This window comes from Homo sapiens, chromosome 15, assembly GCF_000001405.40.
Source record: "Homo sapiens chromosome 15, GRCh38.p14 Primary Assembly".
NCBI lineage: Eukaryota > Metazoa > Chordata > Mammalia > Primates > Hominidae > Homo > Homo sapiens.
This window is the reverse complement of record NC_000015.10, coordinates 22,664,736-22,692,331: the sequence shown is the minus strand read 5'-3', so window position 1 is coordinate 22,692,331 and position 27,596 is coordinate 22,664,736. Positions and strand designations below refer to the sequence as shown.

Genomic DNA, 27,596 nt, shown 5'->3' with positions numbered 1-27,596 from the left:
TTCCTTGTCACGTGGGTCTCTCCACAAAGCATCACACAACATGGCAACTCTCTTTATCAAAGCAAGCAAGCGAGAGGGCAAGAGGAAATGCCAGCAAGAGTTGGGGGTGGCTAGCAAGGGGCAAGACATAGTTCCTTGTTAGCTAACCAAGGAAGTAACACCGCATTACTTTTGTTGAATTCTGTTTCTTAGCAGCAAGGCACCAGGTCCAGCTCATACTCAAGAAGGGGAGATAATACAAGATATCGGGAGGTGGAATCAGAAACATGGGAGCTGTGTCAGAAGCCACCCATCCCACCACTCCAGATAGTTATCACTTTCTTCTATTATGTTATTTTTTTCCCCTTAAAATACTTAAATGACCTAGAGTAGTGGTCTCTACAGTTTTTTTTTTATCCTGCTCTTCACTCCCAGAGTATATTAGTTGATGCAGCAGTTTGTCTCTCTTCATTATCACCAAACTCACACACAATTCATGCATGTGGTAGAGATGCTCTGTGTATGCATAAGTCTGACTCTTCAGAATCCCTGTTATTGACATGTGAGTGACTGTTGCTATCCATGAGCCATTGAATTTCTACTATCCTCATTCTCAGTGGTCAAAAGGGTTGATTGCTTTCTACTCTCTACTTCTCATTGTCACCTGGCTTCTGTAACAATGTTCCTGCCTATACTTTTTTCCTTTTTGCAATGTCATTTTCTGCTTTCTTGTGTAATTTCAAGTAAAAAGAACTTTTTTAAAACAGTTTCTACCGTGGGGTCCTCCTGAACAGTGTGACTTCTCTGCCCAAAACAGTTGTAACGTCCAGCTGTTTTCAGTAATTTTTCCTAGTTGGAGCTCAAAGAATAACACGAGAGAACTAATTTTTTTTTCATTCTGTCCAGACTAAGATGGGAGGGCTGATAATTCTGGAAAACTATTGCAGGGATTGCTAAGATTTTATTGCATGAATACGTCTGTCTTTCTTTGGATGCCTTTTTTTTTTTAAAGCACAAAGTTAACTGTAATAAGGATGGTTATTTATATTGTTTATTTATATGTACCTTTGAGATTTCAATTTTTGTTAAATGAATATTTATTAAGTCATTATGCACTAGAAAACAGAGAAACAAAACTGAAAACAAAAACCTAAATTGCGAGGATTTTTCAGTACTACTGTAACTATATGCAAACTCAAAGCAGTTTTTTTGTGTTCGGTGGCGCTCTGAAATCCTCTTCTGGATATCTTGCCAAGTCCAGTATTGTGGAAGATGGCGTTATGGTCCAGATCACTGCAGAGAACATGGATTCCTTGAGGCAGGCACTGCTAGAGACGAGGGACTTCAGCATCACCTGTGGGAAGGCAGACGCGGAGGATCCCCAGGAGCGCATGCACATCCAGTGAGTGGATGATGACAAGAACGTTAGCAAGGGTGTCGTAAGTCCTATAGACGGGAAGTCCATGGAGACTATAACAAATGTGAAGATATTCCACGGATCAGAATACAAAGCAAATGGAAAAGTCATCATATGGACAGAGGCGTTTTTTCTAGAAAACGATTCCCAGGATTTCCTAGAAATCCTAGTGCTGGGATTACAAGGAAACGATGACCGGCACAATTGCCTCAGTGATCCTACAGATCACAGTAGATTGACTGAGCATGTTGCCAAGGCTTTTTGCCTTGCTCCTGAAGCTTCTGAAGGAGGATGGAATGACCAAACTGGGACTACGTGTAACACTTGACTCAGATCAGGCTGGCTATCAAGCAGGGAGCAGCGGCCAGCCCCTTCCCTCGCAGTCCATGAATGATTTGGACAGCGCCTTGGTGCCGGTGATCCATGGAGGGGCCTGCCAGCTCAGCCCTGTCGTCATGGAACTCATTTTTTATATTCTGGAAGCCGGGCGCGGTGGCTCACGCCTGTAATCCCAGCACTTTGGGAGGCCGAGGCGGGCGGATCACAAGGTCAGGAGATGGAGACCATCCTGGCTAACACGGTGAAACCCCGTCTGTACTAAAAAATACAAAAAATTAGTTGGGCGTCGTGGCGGGCGCCTGCAGTCTCAGCTACTTGGGAGGCTGAGGCAGGAGAATGGCGTGAACCCGGGAGGTGGAGCTTGCAGTGAGCTGAGATCGCGCCACTGCACTCCAGCCTGGGCGACTGAGCAAGACTCCGTCAAAAAAAAAAAAAAAAAAGTTAGATTAACCTTTTGTTAACACTATTAATTGGGCGGGGAATAGGGTTGGAGTGGGGGTTTGGGGGATGGGTGGGAAAGGGTGGTTGGGGGGACAGATGTTCCATAATTCTAAGTCTTTTTTCTATGCACTCTCCACCAAGAAGATCTGGGCAGCTTCTGTTCCTGCACAACAGTTATGCTATCCTTACAGGTAATCCCCTTCTGTTACTGTTTAGACAATAATTCCGCTCCTCTCTCAAGATTTACTTACGGTCATGTGCCCCGAAATGCTCAGATGGGCACAACCATCACCAAGGGTGGGATGGGAGAGCAGAGGGGAAATAAAATATGAAGCATCAGTTAAAAATAATAATACTAATAATTTGAAAAATGTTTAATGAAGACATAACTTTGTAGAAAAAGGCACACCTAAAGAAGGTTATTCAAGACAAAATTAAGAATATATTTGCTAATATATGCTTTGAATTAATTTTTGATGTTTCTTATGTATATATTTAAAAAGCAAACGTATGAATTTTAATCATTTTTTATTCATAGGAAATGTATAGGGGTTCATAAATGTTGTCAGTATACTTCTCTGACCTTATATATTCAGTTTTGTCCCCTTGTTTACAATCTGACTGAGCTGTAAAGGTGTAACCATTAACCAATCAAAGTGAACATTAAAAGGTCAGTGCATTACATATTTTAGCTGCTTCCCAAAAAAATGGGTAAGACATTCAAATTTTGGCGTATTTTTGCAAGTCCAAACTTGTAAAATAAATCTGTGATTACATAAATGAGACTCTGGCTCCCTGTAAAATTTGTAAAAAACATGAGAAGGAAGTTCAATTCCCTGTCTTTCCCTTTTTATTATATTTTAAAGTCAGTCTCCAAAATTCCAGTAAGTTGATATAGGAAGTACTCCAGTTATCAATGTCATAACAACCTTATAAATATTTTCCAGGCTGCAAGTTTCAAAATAAGAACTTCCTTCCTATTTACAAATTAGCACATGGACATACTTTGGAATTGTTTGTGGGTATCAAATAACTTTTTATTTTTGCAAATATTTGTATCAATAACTTCTTTCCTGCCTCAGCCTCCCAAAGTAACTGGAATTACAGGTGCCCACCACCAAAACCAAAGAGTGTTTATTTATTTTTTATTTTTTTTTATGTAGAGACAGGGTTTCTACATGTTGACCAGGCTGGTCTCAAACTCCTGACCTCAGGTGATCCCACCTTTCTCGGTCTCCCAAAGTGCTAGGATTACAAGCATGAGCCACCCCACCCAGCCAGTGTCAATAACTTCTATCATGACAATTATCCATTTTGGCCATCAGTTATTTGTAAATAAGTGATAAGACATTTTGCCCTCATATCTGTTTGTGATCAAAGGAAAACCAGTACCAAAGAATATTTATTTTCTGCATGATCAATGTGATTGGAACATATATAGTGTCTATATTCTTTGTTATTACTGTGAAAAATAATAAGCAAATAATTTGTGTTTTAAATCATTTGTAAAAATTTTTTTTGTTGCCAATATATTTTAACCATTCTGAAGAGAAGGCTAAAAAAGATTTTTGCGTTTTTTTTTGAGATTGAGTCTCGCTCTGTCACCCAGGATGGAGTGCAGTGGCGCGATCTTGGATCACTGCAAGCTCTGCCTCCCGGGTTCACGCCATTCTCCTGCCTCAGCCTCCCGAGTAGCTGGGACTACAGGTGCCCGCTGCCACGCTAATTTTTTTATATTTTTAGTAGAGGCGGGGTTTCACTGTGTTAGCCAGGATGGTCTCGATCTCCTGACCTCATGATCCACCCTCCTTGGCCTCCCAAAGCGCTGGGCTTACAGGAATTAGCCACCGTGCCCGGCCAGGTTTTTGCCTTTGTAAGAACGAATGTAAGGAATAAAATTAGATGGCTAAAAATGGGGGATTGGGGAGGGGAAGACTGGCCTATTGATTAGGAGAAGGCCAGGAGTAAAGTCTGCCAGTAACATTAAAGATATGAAACCATAACCTTTGTTATACAATTTTATCCATTGCATAACAGCAATGGATGCTGTTTCTGTGCTGAATGGAAGGTGAGGTCATAGCAAGAAAGCTGCCTACAAGGCCTCATTTACAGGGAAGTTTTGAGAAGCTGGAGAAAATCTGAGAAAAAGCATATATGATGGTTGGAATTAAACCATCTACAGAAAGTATGTTCTAATGTGTTAGGATAAGCACCTAATTAAGCACCAGCAGGCTGAAGCAAGCAGAGGCATCATTGGAGCTATGTGTTCACACCGTGCTGTGACTGAGAAGAAGTTGAAGGCGGTATCTCTTCAGAAGTTTCAGGCATCCGGGCATTTGAGAGGCCAAGAAGTCTGTGGCTGCTAAAAGCAAAAGGGCCAGCAGATTTAAATAAATAAATAAATAAATAAAAATAAAAAACGTTGATTTTTAAAATCTAGAAAATGTCACTGCGAGCGCAAGGTAAATTGTCACTGCAAAGATAAAAGGCACCCTCATTTCCTAAGCTTCCTGTTCTCCACATACAATTTATTTTTTAAGATTTCTGGGCAAAAGTAATTACTGCTTGATCTGCATTGAAAACTATTTTAATTGCTATATTTCAGTATAGCATGTGACATGTGGAACATTGCTGCTATCACTGGGCGAATGTCAGAGTCCGTAGATGTGTGATTTGTTGCAAGTTACTTCTAGCAAAGGCTGAACTGAAGTTTCTTTCTTCTCTGACCTTGATTATGATAATTGAATGAGGTAATTGGATGAAAATATCCTTACTTTCATTTCAACCTTAATTTTTTCCTTAAAAATTTTATAAGCAAATACATTTGCCACTTTCCTGACCTTTCAGCAATTTTTTCAGAAAATAACACACTTTCCATTTGGCCACTATCCTATTTAAAAGGAGCCATGAATATCTTGCGAATGAGAGAAAAGGAGGTCAGGCACGAATAAGATGTGATGACATTTGGAAGTCTGAAAGCGAATAGAATTGTCCTGACAGTCTAGCTAAGGAGAAGAGACACACCACTCTGAGTACTCACAATGCCAATGTAGTGGCAGTTTTTCCAAAAATCACTATGGATGATAAGAACTGGGAAGAGAAGCAGAATTCAAGAAGATTGAAAAGTTGCATATGGCAACAGCTATGTGGGTCAACCTTCCACATACTTCCCCTATCGCTTCCGTTGCCTATAGCCTTTGCACAAAGGATAAAGTCACATAAACATTCTTGAGAACAACACGATTTGTCCAGAAAAGGCTCAGTGAGACATAGCTGAATGATAGTTAGATTTGACGGGTTAATTTAGCAATTACTTGTGTGACTTCTCATCAAAGAGCAGATGTGAGTTACAGCATCATCATAAATGATGGTGAACAGATGCAGACCTGAACCAGAACTTCCACCCAACCCCCACAAACGTGTCTCCCCACTGTGTGACTAAGCCCATCGTCTCTGGAACAACTGGTAGGAAAGTGTGAGTGGGATCATCAAATCAACTACAAGAAAATCGAACAAAGGATTCTGAAGAGTAGAACTGAGGTTACAACAGAAATGTATTCAATAATACGGAAAATAATTATGTCTATCTTTTTAAAAAGAAGAAATACTAGTTTTACTTGGACATATGTGGTTGAAGGAGAGGGGCTGTGGGCATCTATCCTCCCCTTCAATGGCAAGGTATCAGTAACTGCTCAATAGAAGAACTAGTGGTCTTTTCAGAAACTTTACTGTTGGGATTAAAAAGTATGCTAGTGGACAGGAAATAATATTACCACAATGATTTCAAGATGAATTAAAAAGGCAAATGTTGAAAGCTAAATTTCAAATTCATTTGAATATGAATTGATATTTACATAATCTGGAGTGAGGCAGAGCCTGCATAGAGCTGGACACCATAAGGGAAAGGACTATAGATTAACTAGATAAAATTTCACATCGCAATTTTCCAAACAAAATTTTATCCTGTTTAGTAAACATCACTTAAACACAATTTTAACATTATAAATATATCTGCACATATACATGTACAAATGTGTTATTTATGTAGAAAGAGTTAAAACAGATCAACAGCAAAACATGCATTTTTGTACATAAGTGATTAACAAGGGAGGGTAATGTGCTTTTTTTTTCAAAAATAGTCACTAGCTTGGGCACAGTGGCTCACACCTATAATCCTAGCACTTTGGGCAGAAGTGCTTGAATCCAGAAGTTTGACATCAGCTTGGGCAACATAGCGAGACACCAACTCCACAAAATTTTTTTTTAAAAAAGCCAGGCATGGTGGCACACACCCGTAGTCCCAGCTACTCAGGAGGCTGAAGCAGGAGGATTATGTGAGCTGGAGGTCGAGGCTGCAGTGATCAATCAGGCCACTGAACTCCAGCCTGGGTGACAGAGACTTCATCTCCAAAAACAAAAAATAGTAATTAAAAAGAAAGGCCCTGCTGCAAAAGAAGAAAGGCAGTGGATTTGTCATACAGTCTAACTTTTATGAAGAGTTTACTTACTGCTACTTTTAAAGGGTATCTTACAGTCTGTAAATTGGCAGATGGAATAATGACTTGTACTTCCCTCTTATGAGTAATTAAAGCAACTTATTTTTGTTCAGTGCTTCAACACCTTCATTTACTGTCTGATTAGACAACTTTTCTAGAATCTGCTATCTGCAAACCCTCCTCTCATATGCAGATCTACAACGTGTGAATATAACATTCCTGATTATATCATGACCACTCCCAGTGGGCTCTGCTGGTAGCTTGTTTTGTATAGGTATAGATCCAGTGCTTTTTCCTCTTTATTCTTTTTATTGAGCGCTCTTATACATATATGGTTATGCAGAGATAACACACTGTCAATACAAAGATTTTCAGAATTTATTGGACAAAATGACACAAAACTAAAAATATCATTTACACATGAAATTCAAAGAACGCATTATTTTTCCTTACAAAATTGTGGAAAAATTAATTCAGATAGTAACATAGAACTAGTTCTAAAACTAAAATGCTAGTGTGAATGTATACAGGAGATATGGTTTGACTGTGTTCCTACCCAAATCTCATCTTGATTTTTAGCTCCCACAATTCCCACATGTTGTGGCAGGGACACAGTGGGAGGTAACTGAATCACGGAGGTGAGTCTTTCTCATGCTGCTCCCATGAGAGTGCATAAGTCTCATGAGATTGGACGGTTTTATAAAGGGGAATTCCCCTGCACACATGCTCTCTCTCTTGCCTGCCACAAAGATGTGACTTTGCTCCTCATTCACCTTCTGCCATGATTGGGAGGCCTCCCCAGCCATGTGGAACTGTGAGTCAATTAAACCTCTTTACTTTATAAATTACCAGTCTTGGGTATGTCTTTATTAGCAGTGTGAGAACAGAGTAATAGAACAGGCAAAATGAAGGAGTTTATTTTAAACCTGCTTTAAAGTATTTCGTGGTTAAAGTATTTAAAACCTTTTCTTCTATTTTTAGGAAAACAATGAGAAAGCTAAACACAGGTCTAACTTGTTATTCAACTAAAAATTATTTTAAAAATATTTGAGTACAGACTTCTGGCACCAGCCAAGACAAAGCATGCTCACCAAGGCCTATTTCTCTTTCTGACTGAAATTAAAACTCTGGACATAAAAAGCAACTATCAAGGACTCTTAAAAGTAAACAATAACAGATGGATTGAAGGCAAAATCAAAATACCAATAGTGACCTGTAACAGGGGTGGGTTTAATGGCTATTTTTTTTTCTAACCCAGGTGTGCAAAATTTCTACTGTTTTTAGCTAGAGAACCAAGAATGAAGCCTCTGCAAGATGGAGCATATGTAGAGTGTTGGGAGCAGGCCCCCCAAAATCTGGCCATAAACTGGCCATAAATAAAATCTCTGCAGCACTGTAACATGTTCATAATGGCCCTAACACCCATGCTGGAAGGTTGTGGGTTTACTGGAATGAGGGCAAGGAACACCTGGCCTGCCCGGGGTGGAAAACCGCTTAAAGGCATTCTTAAGCCACAAACAATAGCATGAGCGATCTGTGCCTTAAGGACATGCTCCTGCTGCAGTTAACTAGCCCAACCTATTCCTTTAATTCGGCCCCTCCCTTCGTTTCCCATAAGGGATACGTTTAGTTAATTTAATATCTATAGAAACAATGCTAATGACTGGCTTGCTGTTAATAAATACGTGGGTAAATCTCTGTTCGTGGCTGAGCTCTGAAGGCTGTGAGACCCCTGATTTCCCACTTCACACCTCTATATTTCTGTGTCTATGTCTTTAATTCCTCTAGCACCGCTAGGTTAGGGTCTCCCTGACCGAGCTGGTCTCGGCATAGAGAAATAATTCTTTTGTTTTTCTCTTTCTTCCCCACCCAGCCTTGCCTGGAAGCCAGCTCTGGTTCTGAAGCTGCTGTCATGATACTAGCTGTGTAGTGGCAGCAATGCACAGGCACTGAGAACTTCAAGACAGACAATCTCTCTCATTATTTCTCTTTAAAGAAAAAAAAAGGGGGGTACAGACACTTATGAGAAAACAAAAACACATGAAGACAAATATAAAAATACAATACTAAGATATCAAATCTGGCAATATTTAAAAACAATACTTTACAAACAAGTGATTTATACCATGAATGCAAGGCTGGTTCAACATTCAAAGCTCAACAGATATAAATTGCAACATTATTAGGTAGATGAAGAATAAACGTGTCATTTCAGCAGATGCAGCAAAAGCATTTGACAAAATTCGGCCGGGCGCGGTGGCTCACGCCTGTAATCCCAGCACTTTGGGAGGCCGAGGCGGGCGGATCACGAGGTCAGGAGATCGAGACCACGGTGAAACCCCATCTCTACTAAAAATACAAAAAATTAGCCGGGCGCAGTGGCGGGCGCCTGTAGTCCCAGCTACTCGGGAGGCTGAGGCAGGAGAATGGCGTGAACCCGGAAGGCGGAGCTTGCAGTGAGCGGAGATCGCGCCACAGCACTCCCGCCTGGGCGACAGAACGAGACTCCGTCTCAAAAAAAAAAAAAAAAAAAAAAAAAAAAAGCATTTGACAAAATTCAATAGCTATTCTTTATAAAAACTCTCAACAAAATGAGAAAAGGGAACTTATCCTGATAGAGGGCATCTACAAAACAAACAAAAAAAAAAACAAACAAAACTACCACTAAATTACACTTAATGGTGACTCTCCAACTGATTTAAAAACTGGGTCCAAGGCAAGAAGTCAGCTCTTTTACCACTTATATTCAACTTTATACTGATAGTCCTAGCCAGATCAGTAATGTAGGGAAAAAAATCAGTGACATCCACATCAGAAAGGAAGAAATAAACCTGTTTCTATTTTCAGACAACAGTCTATGTAAAAGTATTCAAAATAACCTATTAAAATTCTCAATATGCGAGTTTAGTAATGTGGTTATATGCAAACTCAATAAACAAAATCAATCATATTTCTATATATTACCAAACAACGTTTGGAAATAGAAACATACAAAAAATTATTTAGAATGACATAAAAAATAAAGCGTTTATGTATAATTTTACAAAAATATGTGCACAATTGGTATTTTTCCTCCCAAGTAGCTGGGACTACAGGCATGCACCACCATGTCCAGCTAATTTTTGTATTTTTAGGAGAGCTGGGGTTTCACCATGTTGCCCAGCCTGGTCTCAAATTCATGGTCTCAAGCAATCCACCCGCCTCAGCCTCCCAAAGTGCTGGGATTATAGGCATGAGCCACTGTGCCGGACTCCCTATTTACATTATTTTAAAAAACCTATTTACCTTTAGATAAATGTTTGAGGTGATAGATACGCTAATTACCCTGATTTGATCATTCCATATTATACACCTCAAAATATCACACTATACCTCATAAATATGTACAATTATGTGTCAATTAAAAAAAACCAAAAAATTATTTTTTCAACCTTCATAGTAGCTTTTTTTTAATTAAAGGAATTTATCTCTAATAATAAAGTCAAATAGAACAAAAATTACAGACTGAGGATCATTTTGTGGAGGAAATACAAATGTAGGCCTGGAACAGAGGGCATAAAAAAATAACATCATCCTCTTAAGTATATACTTTAAAAGAAAAAAGAAAGTTGTAGATATCAAAAAAAAAAACAACACATTTTACTTTTAACTGGGCACTTTCACTACACTTATATCACAATGCTGCCTGGATAACATTTTAAAGAATTGTTTATTACAAATGAGAGGAAATGCCAGCTAAAGTCAAGGGAGTTGAACAGTTTTCAGTTTTCCCTGCCAATCTAAACCACCAGTGCCAGTAAGGACTACTCAGTGAAGAGTGCAGAGCAGGAACCCAAGCGTGTTGTGATGTCAAAAACAGCAGTTATTTTATATCATGGGTTTTGAATCACTGATATTCTATTTTTGTTGTTGCTTTTTATTGATATACCAGAAATAATGTTATTTTTTAAATGTTACATGTTCTGAATGACCTGTTCTTAATACTTTCCTCTTTAGAGCGGTCTTCATTTATTTCCCCAGAAGTGTAGATGAGGTGATTGTTTATAAAACTTACATCTTTAAATGCTCTCAATTGTTGGAGTGTTTGACGTTCTTGGTTGATCCATTCTTTTTTCTTTTGCTCCTTTTTATCTTGTCTCTTTTCTATATTTAAGCAGATGTATATTTGTAAATTGCTCAACATTACAAAAATGTCGTGGCATACAATAAAAATGTCTTGACAAAGAAAGAGGCTGTACCCCAACATTACCACCCCAAGACTGCAACCAGACTGCAGGCCTGGAGGTGAATTGGCTGACAGCTGCAGGTCCAGGGCAGCGCAACTCCAGTTTCCACAAGTCTAGGCCTGCATGTCACGCTACACAAACATAGAACATTTTCCTTCGGAGGACACTCACCATCTGAATACTGTGATGCTGACGAGAATATCTTATGCTTTCTTCAGCCTGTTGCAATCTGAGCCAATGATTTTCTTCGCACTGATCCTGGTGGAATAATACAAATCACCTACATGGTTTTTAGTGTTACCCTGGTATAGCATAAAAGGTTAAAAGAAGAAAGCACTGCATTTGGGCGTAGTGTAAGGCATTCATTAATATTAGTTCTGGTGCGGCCCAATGGTACTCTCCTCCACAGTCTATGATGAGAGTTGCCTGGCTGCTTATGGAAATAATTTATTCCCAGCAGAGTGCTTTAAGAGGTGAAAACAATCCGCCAACCATGAGAGGACACACAGGCAGCCCCCATTCTTAAATGGGATGTGTCCCAACAATGTTTTAATGTGATTGTTTTAAACACATTTCCCCATAACATTATAAATACTAATTACATTTCCAAGCATACCTACAAACGCAGAGCAACTGAAAAATTGTTATAACTGTGTTTCACCTGTGCTTAACCACTCACTATACCAATATATAATATGCTATATGTACATAAAATCCTTAATCTATGTAAAAAATAATACAGTAATACTCACAGATAATACTAACATTTATTGAGTAGGTTTTAGCTTCAATGATAAGTACTTTTCATGCCTTATGCTACTCTATCGTCACATGAAATTTGTATTATTACCACTATCTTTTTTTTTTGAGACTGAGTTTTGCTCTTGTTGCCCAGGCTGGAGGAGTGTAATGGCATGATCTCGGCTCACTGCAACTTCCGCCTCCTGGGTTCAAGCGATTCTCCTGCCTCAGCCTCCCAAGTAGCTGGGATTACGGGTGCCGTGCCTGATCTATCATCCTCTTTTAACAGAGGAGAAAACTGTGAGCCCAAAAGAGATTTAAGTAATTTGCCTAATGTCACATGACTACTACCTAAGTGGCCAGACTGCGATCTGAACCCAAGTTGAGAGCTCACCTCAACTACCATTCTATTAACCGAGTGCCTTCCAAATTCCAACATTTCCAGAATCAGTGGAAAGAGCTCCTCTAAATGGGGTAGGGGGAGTGATTATATCTTGAGAGTGAAGGTTAATGCTCCAAGTCTGGATAAGAGAAGGCACAGGAGCATTTTATATACATATACATATAACACTGCCAAGGAGGTGGAGGCATCTGTTCATCCACAGCACCATGGGAGTGCCAAAGGAGACTCCTCTTGGGGCTCATGGGTTTTCTGAAATGTGGAGCAAAGGGCAAATGCCTGTAGATCTTCAAATCCTCTGAATAACAGTTCCTAAATCCAGAAGTACAATTCTTAAACATGAACATGCAAAGAATATACTCTTCTAACAAATTTTTTTATTTTTAATTTTTATTAGAGACAGGGTTTTGTTCTATCACCCTAGCTGGAGTGCAGTGGTACAATCACAGCTCACTGAGGCCTCAACCTCCTGGCCTCAAGCAATCCTCCTGCCTCAGCCTCTTGAGTAGCTGGGACTATACATGCGCACCACAGAGATGAGGTCTCCCTGTGTTGTCCCTGGTCTCGAACTTCTGGCCTTAAGTGATTCTCCCACCTCAACCTCCCAAAGTGCTGGGATTACAGGCATAAGCCACAGCACCTAGCCAAGTTTTTTTTAAGTATTTGTATTTACATGGAAGAGTAATTAACATTTTTGTAAGCTACGAAAGTCACAATTTTCATGTTTTCTTAATTCTAACAAGAAAAGTATAGTAGGCTCGGCACAGTGGCTCACGCCTGTAATCCCAGCACTTTGGGAGGCTGAGGCAGGTGGATTGCTCGAGGTCAGGAATTCAAGGCTAGTCTGACCAACATGGTGAAACCCCATCTCTACTAAAAATACAAAAATTAGCCAGGCTTGGTGGCAGGCACCTGTAATCCCAGCTACGCAGGAGGCTGAGGCAGCAGATTCACTTGAACCTGGGAGGTGGAGGTTGCAGTGAACCGAGATCACGCCACTGCACTCCAGCCTGGGAGACAGAGCAAGACTGCGCATCAAAAAAAAAAAAGGGAGAAAAGTATAGTAAATATGAGTAAATACACATAAAAGTCTGTATAAAAATGATATATAGAAGCTTCCTTTTCTGTCAGAAAAAATTAAATTTCTTAGTGTTATCTTTTTATGTATTCATGGATTTTTAAAAATTAAGAAAAAAATCACCAAATACAAGGTCTGAGGTGAGCTGAATATTGTTATCTGTAATTGTTTTGTGTACTAAAATATATTTAGAATTATTATAGCTGGTTATTAGAAATAGAGTTTCTACCTATTGTGGTTTTTAAAGTACCTGTGGTCCGGGGGTGGTGGCTCACACCTGTAATCCCAGGACTTTGGGAGGCCAAGGTGGGCGGATCACTTGAGGTCAGGAGTTCAAGACGAGCCTAGCCGACATGGCGAAACCCCGTCTCTACAAAATATACAAAAATTAGCTGGGCGTGGTGGCACGTGCCTGTAAACCCAGCTACTTGGCAGGCTAAGGCACGAGAATTGCTTGAACCTAGGAGGCAGAAGTTGTAGTGAGCCAAGATCATGCCTCCGCACTCCAGCCTGGGTGACAGAGCAAGACTCTGTCTCAAAAAAAATAAAAATAAAGTGCCTGTGTATGCAGTGGGAATTCAACAAATAGTTGTTGAATGAATAAATTAAAACCTTGAGATTTGCTAAATGCTTAAAACCCAAAAGAAAAAAATAATATTTTTAAGAAAAATATTAAAAATCATTTTAACTATAGCCATGGATAAGTTCATAAGCACACAAAAAATTAATCACTGTGTTGGTAAAAACCTTATTTCAATACCTCTTTATCCTTCATACAAGAATAAATCTCTGGAAGAGAAAAGAAAAGAAAGCCGCTCTGAGCGTACCCACCTTTCTACTCTGGAGAGAAGCTCTTTTGACACAGATCCTGCCCCGTTTAATAGACTCCAGCTGCTGGCACTGCCTTCTGAGTTCTTTCACTTCCGAATTCTTATCGTCCTGCAGCCCCACCACAGTCAATGACTAAGTTCCTCTGGACTTTCACATGGATCGTAATAGACAACTTCATCCTGTTTTTCTAAAAAGGTATTAATGATTGTTTAAAACATATTTTATTATTTGTAAAAATACATTGAATTTTTTTAAATGTAAGGAAAATAAAGATCACTTGTAATCCCACCACTGAGAATCACTATTAACATATAAAAAATCTGTGTATAAATGTAATATACATATACACATGTGTATATATACATGACTATACACATGTATGTAAGTAGCATGTGTGTATATACATGTAAGTAGTATATGCATGTATATATACCTGTATAGACATATGTATATATACACATGCACACACACACACATACTACTTACATAGCTACACGTATCAATGGAGTTCTAAAAGAACACTTTCCATGGGATGGAAATAAATTTTTAGGCCAGGTGCGGTGGCTCACGCCTGTAATCCCAGCACTTTGGGAGGCCAAGGCAGGCTGCACACCTGAGGTCAGGAGTTCAAGACCAGCCTGGCCAACATGGCAAAACCCCATCTCTACTAAAAATACAAAACTAGTTGGGCACAGTGGCGTGTGCCTGTAATCCCAGCTACTCAGGAGGCTGAGGCAGGAGAACAGCATGAACCTGGGAGGCAGAAGTTGCAGTGAGCCGAGATCGTGCCACTGCACTCCAGCCTGGGCAACAGAGCAAGACTCCATCTCCAAAAACAAAAAAAAATTTAAAAAAGATAAATTTTAATGGCAGCATAGTATTCTCTAATTTAAGCAATCCATGTTGTTAGGCTGTTCCAATGTTCCATTATTATTCATTTCACTGTGATGAACATCTCTGTATAAATCTTTGTGTATGCTTTTTATCACTTCCTTAGCAGATAAGTGTTTAAGGATCTTGATACCCATTGCCACACTGCCCTCCAGAAAGGCAACTTATATTCTACCAGCAATATATTATTAAGATGCCTTAGTGATATTTAATCTTGATTACATATTGATTTTTTAAAAGTCATGCTTACTGTAACAAATTCAAACCCACCCGAAGTACATCAAATAAACAGTGAAATTCTATTGCTCCTTCCCCAAACCTTCTGAGTCATTCTCAGAGGAAAAACATTATGAACAATTTGGCATGCATCCTTCCAGATTAACTTCTTTTTTAATGTAATTTTTTTCCTAAATATGTAAAATGCTTATAACCTGAAACTACTGAAAAAAATTCTGAATACTCAGGATTAAACTAAAAGTTCAGGATCTATGTGAAGAAATTTATTAAACTTGGAGGAACTTTAGGAAAAAAGATTTAAATAAATGGAGAGAGACATACCATGTTCTTGGGTAGGAAGATTCAAAATTGCAAAGACCACTATTCTCCCCAAAGTAATCTCTAATTTTAAGCAAAATCACAATCAAAATTCCAAAGAGTTTTTTGTTTTGAACTTGATTCTAAATTTCATCTGAAAGAATAAAGGAGTGAAAATAGTCAGAAAACTTGTGAAGTAATGTGGGGGGTACTTGCCTTACCAGACCCTAAAATGTGCCTCCAAGACAGTTGTGGGAACAGTATGGAGCCAGTAGCAGAAGCCACTCACGAACCAATGGAGGAGAACAACTCAGAAACAGACCAAAGTCAATCTAATGTTTAACTGGAGAAATGTTAAACATTTAGGGAAAATGTTTTTAAAATCAGTGATTGGGACTGTTTAACAATTTGAGGGAAAGGTTCAATTCCTACCACAATCAAAATAAATTCCACCTGGACTAAAGAATTAAATGTTTTAAAAAATAACATCATAAACATACTGAAAGAAAACATAAGTATATATTGACATAATTTTGGGATAGGAGACTATTGCCAGACATAATACTAAAAGCAGAAGCCATAGGGGAAAAAAATCGATAAACACGACTTCATAAAACTTAAATATTTCTGAAAGGCAAGAAAACGCAAATGACAAGGAGAGATTATTTGCAACATATGACAGACAATAGAGGACATTATTCTTAATGTTGAAAGGAAATATTCCAAAGAAAAATGGACAAAGACTATGAATAGGCATTTCATAAAATAAGTACAAATGGCTTGTAAACATACAAAATTTTGTTCAATAATCACTCATAATTAAATAAATGAAAATTGGAAGACTGCCATTTTCTCTGTCAAGTAAGCAAAAATGCAAAAGAATGGCATGAGTCTGGGAAACATACACACTCATATTCTGCTGATGGGAGCGTCTTTTTTCTTTTCTTTTTTTTTTGAGACAGAGTCTTACTCTGTCGCCCAGGCTGGAGTGCAGTGGTGCCATCTCAGCTCACTGCAATCTCAACCTCCCAGGTTCAAGCGATTCTCCCGCCTCAGTCTCCCAGGTAGCTGGGATTGCAGGCACCCACCACCACGCCCGGCTAATTTTTGTATTTTTAGTAGAGACAGGGTTTCACCACGTTGGCCAAGCTGGTCTTGAACTCCTGACCTCAAGTGATCTGCCCCCACTCAGCCTCCCAAAGTGCTGAGATTACAGGCGTGAGCCACCACGCCCAGCCTGGGAGCGTCATTTTAAATGTACGACCTATCTAGAGGGCCACTACATAGTATGAAATTTAGAAATCAGAAAATAATACAGAGGTGAGGAAAAATGTATCTCAGATGACTGCTGTATTGTTACATAGCAAAATGTAAAATATACATTGCCCTTGACCCAATAATTCCATCCTTAGATATTTATTCCAAGGAGATAATCTGTCCTATACTCAAAGACATGTGTAAAGGAAAGTTCACTACACTACTGTTCAAAACAGCGGAAATTTGGAAATCACGGTATATCCATATAATGGAATACTATGCAGCCATTAAAATTTTGATACTTTTATTATTTCTGAAACAGAAAGACAATTATTATGTATTAAATGAAAAAGAGACTATTATGCATTGTATGCCTGTGTCAAAATATCTCATGTAACCCATAAATATATATATCTGCTATGCACCCCTAAACATTAAAAAATTTTAAAAAAGATGTTACTGAACTGGTTATGTAGTTTTGGTTAAAAATTTATATTTTTACATATCAGCATATTTTGAAATCTACAAAGTTATACAGCAAATTGTTACCACTAAGTATCTGTCTTTTTTTTTTTCTTTTTTAGATGGAGTCTCGCTCTGTCTTCTAGGCTGGAGTGCAGTGGCACGATCTTGGCTCACTGAAACTTCCACCTCATGGGTTCAAGCCATTCTCCTGCCTCAGCCTCCCAAGTAGCTGGGATTACAGGCACGTGCCACCACATTGGACTTTGTATTTTTAGTAGAAACAGGGTTTAGTATTTTTGTATTTTTAGTAGAGACGGGGTTTCACCATGTTGGTCAGACTGGTCTGGAACTCCTGACCTCAAGTGATCTGCCCGCCTCAGCCTCCCAAAGTGCTGGGATTATAGGCCTGAGCCACTGTGCCCAGCCAACCATTGAGCATCTCTAGATGATGGGATTGGGGTAATAATCATTTTTCTTTCTTTGTTTTGCTATGTGCTAACAATGAATATATTATTTGAATAATAAACCACTGAAGGAAAACTTTAGGAAATTTTCAGATGTTACAGTTTACAAAAAGTAATTGATAATATGGTCTGTATTTCCTTAAATTTATAAACATTGTAATCTATATACTTAAATAAAAACTTTACCTTTTATAAGTCTTTCAAGAGAGTCCAACTGTGTAGTAAGCAGTATTTCTTTGTTTTTTAATATCTCAAATTTAACTTCATATAGTTCTAACTGAATTTCATAAAATTGTATTGCTAATTCATCTACAACATTTATATTTTTTTCTTGTTCTGGAAGATCTTCCATCTTATTTTCATAGAAAAAAGAAAAATAAGTTAAAACAAATAGTATATTAAAAACAAACTTTAGAAGCATTCTAGCTATTTTCTATTCCTTGTTCCGTACTAAATATAAAAGAGCAAATAGGAAAGAAACACTTTTTCATTTCATCTAGTGATGCTAATACTTTATCCCATCCTTGAAACAGAGAAAAACATTTAGGTTTTGAGAAACATAAATGGCAATGAGGTATTATTATGTATTGCATATCGGTGTCCCCCCAAAATTCATATGTTGACACTGTAACTCCCAATGTGATGTTATTTGGAGGTGGGTCCTTTGGAAGTAATTAGGTTCAGATTATGTCAAAAGGATAGCACCCCCATCATGGGATTAGTGCCCTTATTAGAAGAGAAAGACAGGGATCACTTTCTTTCTCTCCAAACATACACACAGAAGAAAGGCTATGTGAGCACTCAGTTAAGAAGGCAGCTGTCTACTAGACAGGAAGAGGATCCGCACCAGACAGTGAATCTGCAGGCACCTTGATCTTGGACTTCCCAGCCTCCAGAACTGTGAGAAATACATGTCCATTGTTGAAGCCACCCAATCTGTGACATTTAATATTGTTACAGCAGCCTTAGCCAACTAAGACAGGTGTTTACAGTGTTTTCTGCTTTAAAGTCATAAGATTATAGGAAAAAACTTAAGTGTCTAAGATCCTTCAGGGAAGTATCTCTTTGATTATTTTAAAGCTGTACTGAAAACATTGCTGGATTGATTTTCAAGTACAGTACCCACTTCAATACTGGGCTTGGTGTTACTATAAAGTGAATCCTACAGTGTGGTATTTTGAAACATCTTAACCAAAGGAAAACTTTATGTCTAACCTTCCATAGGAGATGGTGTTGGAATAAGTGAAGAAAAGCAGCTCTTTAACAATGCCTGGAAAGAAAAGTGCTATCTAAAAATACAAGTGTGCTTTACCACATGGTCTCACTTATAAGTGGGAGCTAAGTAGTGTATACACAGACAGTGTGGAATAACAGACACTGGAGACTCAGAAGAGTAAGAGGGTGGGAGGGGGGATGAGAAATATTTAATGGGTACAATTACATTATGTAGGTGATGATTACGCTAAAAGCCCAAACTTCACCACTACACAATATATCCATGGAACAAAACTGCACTTGTATCCTTTATTTATACAAAATTTTTAAAAAATAAAAGTGGCGCGGGGCACGGTGGCTCACGCCTGTAATCCCAGCACTTTCGGAGGCCAAGGTGGGCGGATCACGAGGTCAGGAGATCGAGACCATCCTGGCTAACACGGTGAAACCCCGTCTCTACTAAAAATACAAAAAATTAGCTGGGCGCGGTGGCGGGCACCTGTAGCCCCAGCTACTTGGGAGGCTGAGGCAGGAGAATGGCATGAACCCAGGAGGCGGAGCTTGCAATGAGCCGAGATCGTGCCACTGCAGTCCGGCCTAGGCAAAAGAGCGAGACTCTGTCTCAAAAAAAATAAAATAAAATAAAAAATAAATACAAGTGTATTTTTAAAACAAAGTTATGTTTATCTTTGTCTTACCTTTCCCTGAATTTCAGCTCTTTTGTGATTTAAACATAACTCTTTCGCTCTCATGAGTTGCAGAGTCTCTTGAGCTAGCATTAGCTTAAGTTTTTCCAACCTGGGAATTGCTGTGGCCCAGGCAGCCTGGCCAAATCTCTTCACATCCTGTTCCATTTCTTTCTGCATTCCTGTTAGATTATAAAAATAAAATATAATTACACCTCATTAAAAAGGGAAACATTGATCATGAGCTAATTCTTTTTTTATTGCCTCCATACTACCTGCAGAACATCTTTTTTAAAAGAAATTTTGTTTTATTAATTTTTTATTATTATAAAAATAATACATGGTCATTAATATACAATTTTAGGTATTCAATTTTTAAAAGGACAATAATAAGTCATGATCTCACCTAGTTGAGGCAAGTGCTTCTTATATTTTGGCACACTTGCTTCCATATTGTTTCTATGACTAGCTAGACAGACAGGCTCATATGGATAGTTTGACCAAAAAACCAGGATCATCATTCTGCTTTATATCTTGTTGATTCTGTGCAATATATCAGAAACTCCTGCCATTTATAAAAAAAAAATCAAGAATCATGCTTAATAGCTATGTAGTTTTCTCTTTTATGAATGTACCATAACTTAACAAACTGACAGACATTAAGTTGTTTCCTATTTGGTGTTTTTATCAACAATTATTTAAGACTGAAAAAAAGTCCTTCACCCAGCCCGCAAGCCCCTGCACGGTCTGATCCCTGCCTGTCTTGCCAGCATTCTCCCTCATACCACATTGTCCTGCACTCTCTGCGATCCAGCCCCGCAGGTTTTCTGTAAGCTCCTATTTGCCAACTTCCCTCAAGCCAGGGGACCTTCGCCAGTGCTATTCCTTCCGCCCAGAACACTCCTCACTTTTTCTATTCTCTCAATTTCCATTTACCCTTCAGATATTGGGGCAAGCGCCACTTCTCAGAGGCCTTCAGTGACCACCCTGATCAAGCCCAATTTCTCTCTCACAGACCCTCAGAGCCCCATGTCTCTCTTCTTTGTGCCATTTATTGTCACTGCCATTTTCTGTGTGCTTCAGTGAATAGATAATTAAGATTTCTCTCCCTTCACCAGACTGTACAATGTCTCTTAATGTTTGACACTGAATTCTCGCCACCTAGAAAACACAGTGCCTAGTGCGTAAGAGGGACTCAAATGGTATTTGAATAAAATGACAATCAATTACACGTATCTGCGTATAGCATTTTTTAGATTATCACCTGCTAATGCTTTTACTGTCTCCTTAAAATAATTCACTGTGATATCTTGAATAGAGACGACAGCTTCTCCAGCCCGTCTGGTCCATTCTTCAGCTTCTTTCTCCAGGGCAACTACCCTTCTAGGACCTAGGTCATCCTCATCCAAGGACTTCTACAGACAGAAGGGAAAATTATCTTAGTAAGAGCTAATAGTTATGTAGAACCATTAGGAAATTGAAAGGAAATTGGTCACATGGATTAATTTAACTACACTACTACTCAGTCAGTTAAATTTTCATTCATTCAGCAGTCCCTTACTGCACATGAATAAGGCTCTAAGCTGAGCACCACCTGGAAGACAAAAGGACCCTCTGGGGCATAAAGTGGGGGGAAAAAAAACTACTTTCACTTCACATGCCTAGAATAACTTTTTCTAGAGAGGAATGTTGTCAACTTATGCTTCTCTCTATTAATAATAATACACAATTGTTTAAATGAGTGATCTGTGTTGTCAAACACTCAGCACAGGGCCTGGAAAACAGCACTTAAGTGTTAGCTGTTGTTATCATTTCTTTTAGGGATATGTAATATTATCACCTAAAAGACAGTATCTGTATATTCATGCTTATAACATGTACTGGTATTGGACTGAATGTTTGGGTCCCCCCAAAATGCATATGTTGAAGCCTAAATCCCCAGTGTGATGGGATTTGAAGATGGGGCCTTTGGGAGGTAATTAGGTCATGAGGGTGGAGACCTCAAGAAAATTGGGATTAATGCCCTTATAAAAAGAAGAGGAGACACAGGATCTCTCTCTCTGCTCTTCACCATGTGAAGACACAGCAAGACAGTCATCTACAAATTAAGAAACTGGCCCTCACAAGACACTGGATCTGCCAGCACCTTGATCTTAGACTACCCAGCCTCCAGAACTGTGAGAAAAAAAGTTTTGTTGTTTATAAGCCACTAATCTACAGTACTTTGTTACAACAGCCTGAACTAAGACATGTACAGCTATGTCATCCAATATGCAATTTTTCTTCTACAAAGCATAAGAAATATGTACAAGTTAGCCGACAAGGAATTACAAATCAAAACCATAACGAGATACCACTTCACACCCACTAGGATGGCTGTAACCAAAGAGACACACAATTACAAGTGTTGGTGATAATGTGGACAAATTGGAACCCTCATTTACTTCTTCTGGGAATATAAATGATGCACCCACTTTGGAAAACCATCTGGCGTCTTTCAAAAGGTTAAACACTGGGTAATCACAGGACCCAGCAATCCTACTCCTCAGTACGTACACAAGAGCAATGAAAAGATATGTCTACACAAAAACTCACACACAAGCATTCATAGCAGAATTATTCATGATAGCCAAAAAGTGGAAACAACCCAAATGTCCATCAACTGATGAAAAAAATGCAATATATCCATACAATGAATATCACTGAGCAATAAAAAGAAATGAAATCCTGGTATTTGCTACAACATGGATTAGCCTTGCAAACATTGTGCTGAGTGAAAGGACCACATATTCAATAATGCTGTTGCTATGTCCAGAGTAGGGAAATCCACAGAGACAGAAAGTAGATTGGTGGTTGCCCAGGGCTGGCAGTGACTAATGGGTACAGGGTTTCTTTTGGGGGTGAAAATGTCCTGAAATTACATAGTAATGATCATTGTGCAACTTTCAATATACTAAAAATCACTGAATTGTACATCTTTTTATATATGTAGATATATTTTATATATATATATGCATATATATACGTATATACGTATATATATATGTATATATGTGTACATATACATATACACATATATACATATATATATACGTATATATACACATATACACATATACATATATACATATATTATACAGATTATATATATGTATACATATATACACATACATATATACATATATGTATGTACATATACATGCATACATACATACATATATATGTATACATATATATATACAGATTATATATATATATATATAGTCTGTGAATGGTATTTTAAAACAGCTGTTACTTAAAGAAAGGAAAATTATAGACTGGGTGCGGTGGCTCATGCCTGTAATCCCAGCACAATGGGAGCCTGAGGCAGGCAGATCACCTGAGGTCAGGAGTTCGAGACCAGCCTGACCAACATGAAGAAACCCCGTCTCTACTAAAAAAATACAAAATTAGCCGGGCTGGACATGGTGGCACATGCCTGTAATCCCAGCTACTCGGGAGGCTGAGGCAGAAGAATCGCTTGAATCCAGGAGGTGGAGGTTGCCGTGAGCCAAGATCACGCCATTGCACTCCAGCCTGGGCAACAAGAGCGAAACTCCATCTCAAAAAAAAAAAAAAAAAAAGAAGAAAGCAAAATATATGCAAGAAGTAGACTCTCCAAATAATAGACTTTCAAAATAATGAACAGAACAACTTTATCCACAGGTTAGAGTGGCATGAGTTTCATCTAAATGTGATACTATTTTTATAGTACAATCATCTGGCAGGGGCATGAGATTATATGTGGAAAGATGGCCCAGTGCAGGGGGCAGAAATCAAGAGATCTCTTAGGTGTCTTCTGATTCCCGTTGTTGAGACCCAAGGCAAGCTATTTAACAACTCTGGACTCTAGATTCATTTGTAACACTGGAATAAGAATGCCTTTCCTGAATGGTGTCACAAGGATGTTTGATGGCTCAATGAAGCAAGAGCGATAACTGTATTTACTAAAATTTAAGTTACTGAATTACAATCTAGGGTCCTGCTATTTAAATTTTCATCCTATTTTAAGAAATCTGCATGAGTCCTTAGAGGAAAACAACTGAAGCAAATAAACATCACATCAAAAACAATTCATCAGGCTGGGCGCAGTGGCTCACGCTTGTAATCCCAGCACTTTGGGAGGCTGAGACGGGTGGCTCACTTGAGGCCAGGAGTTCGAGACCAGTCTGGCCAACATGGTGAAACCCCGTCTCTACTAAAAATACAAAAAAAGTTAGCTGGGCATGGTAGTGCACACCTGTAATCCCAGCTACTCAGGAGGCTGAGGCAGAAGAGTCACTTGAACCTGGAGGAGGTTGCAGTGAGCCAAGATTGTGCCACTGCACTCTAGCCTAGCTGACAAAGAGAGACCCTATCTCAAAAAACAAAAAAAAAATTCATCGCCAGAAAAAACATTTAACTCTTTAAAATCTGTAGGAATCTTAAGCTATTAAGATGACCAACATAAATGTCTTCATTTTCTATCAATTTTAAATATAAATTCAATATTTAAACACGAGGGTGAACTAGGCATAGTGGCTTACGCCTGTAATGCTACGCTTTGGGAGGCCGAGGTGGGCAGACTGCTTGAGCTCAGGAGTTAGAAACGAGCTTGAGCAACATGGCAAAACCTCATCTCTATCAATAAATAAGTAAATAAACATAAGAGTAAACCCAAACAAACCCAAACAAAGTACAGAGATTGAAGATTAAGTGTAAATAAAGAAATAATATATGACAAATAGTAAATGTGATAAAATAAAAATTTTAAAAAAATACCAAAATATCAAGCTTACATAAAGTTGCAACTTCTCGCATAGCCCTAAATGGCTGCAGTAAGTACTGGAAGAACGTGGTTGCCACGGTAACTAATTCCTGGTAGGCTTCATCTTCCTCTTGGTAAACTTTCATTAATGCTACCATGGTGTTGGCTTTTCGGTGTCCTTGAATAACCTAGAGAGCAAATGTGAATAAAGCTCAAGTCAGGACAGTGTAATACATACCCAACAAACAAAGCTAAACAAAAGAAACCTTCATGTTCTCAACTTTCAATACATCAATTTAAAATATTGATTAAATACGAAAATGTTATCATCCTCCATCAAAAATGCCCAATAAAACAAGAATTGTTAAGAAAATTATGATATATCCATGGCAGAATATTATTAGTGTAGTCATTCAGCACTGTGCTTCTGAAGATTGTTTAATAATATGGAGACTTTTGGCCAGGCACGGTGGCTCATGCCGGTAATTCCAGCACTTTGGGAGGCCAAGGCGGGTGGATCACTTGAGGTCAGGACTTCGAGACCAGCCTGACCAACATAGAGAAACACTGTCTGTACTAAAAATACAAAATTAGTTGGGCGTGGTGGCGCACGCCTGTAATCCCAGCTACTGGGGAGGCTGAGGCAGGAGAATCGCTTGAACCCGGGAGGCGGAGGTTGCGGTGAGCCGAGACAGTGCCATTGCATTCCAGCCTGGGCAACAAGAATGAAACTCCGTTTCAAAAAAAAAAAGAGACTTTTATAATTAAATGGAGAGGCAGAGTATAAAATTTAATCTCAACTGTGCACTAAGTATGCAGCGAAAAGGACCCAAAAGAAGGTTTGAGGTTGTGGATATTTTTTCATTTGACTTTTCTGACTGTAAAGGTTTTGTGAGGCTGTATTCCTTTTTAAAAGCTCATAAGGGCCAGGCGTGGTGGCTCACGCCTGTAACCCCAGCACTTTGGGAGGCCACAGCAGGCGCATCACGAGGTCAGGAGAACGAGACCATCCTGGCTAACACGGTGAAACCTGTCTATACTAACAATACAAAAAATTAGCCGGGCGTGGTGGCGGGCGCCTGCACTCCCAGCTACTGGGGAGGCTGAGGCAGGAAAATGGCGTGAACCCGGGAGGCAGAGCTTGCAGTGAGCCAAGATGGCACCACTGCACTCCAGCCTGGGCGACAGTACAAGACTCTCTCAAAAAACAAAACAAAACTCAACTAAACAAAATCTCATAAAACATTACAGAGCTGTCTCCAAGTACTTTAGCATGTTGATTCTCTTAATGCCCCAGGTTAATATTCCCATGAAGTCCTTAGCAGTCAACTCATTTACAGAGCCTCAGCTGTGGTTCCGGTCTCTGCTGGTTATTGCTTGTGCTGCAGGGCAGAAAACAAACTGAACAGTGTATAATCTAGGTGGACTGATTTGGTTGGAAATTATTTTACTCCCACAAGAAGAGAAATAAAATCAAATAATATAGATTTTTTTCAACCAATACATTCTTAAAGTCTTCTATTTCCATCCTTCTGCTTAAGGCTAAAGTGATCTACTTTCAGCTGTATTTTTTATCCAGGTAATAATATTATCATTTTTTTTAAGTGAAAGCCTCACTGAACAAAATTAAAACACACAAGCAAAAGTCAAAAGGCAAGTGGTACATTTCAGCCTTCTTTCTTAGACTATTCAGAAAAATTCCAGAGTTAAAACATTCAGCTTCATTTTATATATCCTAGCAATGCTAGCAATTGGTCTAATTCTAGAATCAATTGCTTTTCTATTCTAAATATAAAGTAAATATTAAAATTATATATTTGGACATGTTGTGAATTTTAGCTTCCCCTCTCAACCCCTCATTTTTGAGTTCCAGATAAATATGTGAACTACACTAACGTGAACAGCTAGCTCAACAGAATGAACTACATTCATGCTATAGTACCCCAGAGTGAACTTAAATTTGGGAAAACTAACTTTTCTGATAGCAACTACAGTAAAATACACCATATAAATGTTCGATTTTAAGGAGAAACCACCTATCTCTGTGAGAAACCAAGTGTTTAAAAAACAAGTCTGATACAAAATGATACCATTTTTGAAACTCCCCTGTGGGTTCCTCATATCCTAAGGTGAAAGTTATAAAGTTGAAGATGAAAAGCTGACTGGCCTGAAACTCCCCTGTGGTTTCCTCATATTCTAAAGTGAAATCAACACGTTAAGTGGGTGTGTAGACATTTACACATAAAGCTCACAGTACAAAAATGACCCCACTAACAAGCTCCTTTTATAAAACCATTTTAATTTAGAAAGCTTATTCTATATTTAGCTTAGGCTGAATTCTTCTCTTCACCTCCCCTTCCTCAAAAGAATGCACAGAAAAATATCATTCAGGTTAATAAGAGCAGTGAGCCGAGACTCCAGCCTGGCTCTGCTTAGTAAACTGTAGGTGTGGATTTAGAAGGCATACTTTCTCCTAAACCCTTCTATGAACATGTACTTCCCCGTCCCCTTAAGTTCAGTAAGTTTACCACTCAAATAATTACTCTCTCAAACTACCTCTTTCAAGCTTAAAAGGGCACTAATGCGGTTATTCTAAACTGATGAATAAAGCTCACTTTCTACCGGCTTTCCATTTGACCAAGTCTGTATTACTTAAAACAAAACACCCTAACTCCTAAAAGCCATTTCTTCCTTTAAACCATTTTATCCCACTTGCGACGTCCCCGCAGACACAGACTTGGAATTGCTTACGTGTAGTCCGTGTTATTCTTTCCTACATGGATGGGTTGTTTTCAGTTTTGCTTGCAGTATTTCTGGCATTTCCCGTTACAACATCCTGCTCTGCCAGCATCTTCAGGGCAAAGGTTGGGGGCCTAGCCCAGCTCCCAGCGGCAAGTACACTAGGCTCTAACTTCGCTTGTCCTCTCTGCAGGCCCTGCCGAAGCTCCCGCTGGTTTCCCGCAGCGATCCCGCGCAGGTGAGGGTACTGGGGAGCCCGTGGCCTTCTCCGCCCGCCGGCTCCTCCCCATCAGCCGTCAGCCAGGGCTCTCGGCGCCGGGGAAGCCTCCCACCGGGTCCCAGGCCACCCAAGCGCGGTCAAACGCCGGCGGCCCGGCCTCGCTTACCTGACGCAGCCGCGCGTCCGCCTCGACCCATCAGGCGCGCAGGGCCCGCTCCCGAAACTCGCGCGGGCTCTCGCAGTCGGCCGCGCGGCCGTTAGCCGCGAAGAGAGCGTCGCGCACGGTGGCGCAGCCACAGCCGTGGGCCGCCGCGCCCAGGTAGCGCTCCAGCTGCCCGCAAAGCTCCTGCAGTGCCGCCTCGCCGGGGCCCACGCGCGCCGGCCACAGCAG

At 39.4% G+C, this 27,596-nt stretch overlaps 2 pseudogenes across 1 annotated transcript; one reads left to right on the top strand and one right to left on the bottom strand.

The window, feature by feature from the left end:
* Positions 1,181-2,518, top strand: LOC101269108 (zinc finger FYVE-type containing 9 pseudogene; annotated as a pseudogene).
* Positions 6,964-27,593, bottom strand: WHAMMP3 (WHAMM pseudogene 3; annotated as a pseudogene). The gene is made up of 11 exons (NR_003521.1): positions 26,998-27,593; positions 24,278-24,434; positions 20,725-20,875; positions 19,867-20,025; positions 19,473-19,642; positions 17,746-17,911; positions 15,398-15,527; positions 13,949-14,135; positions 11,070-11,156; positions 10,727-10,815; positions 6,964-8,660 (listed from the first exon to the last, which is right to left on the bottom strand). The product of NR_003521.1 is annotated as a WHAMM pseudogene 3 (transcript).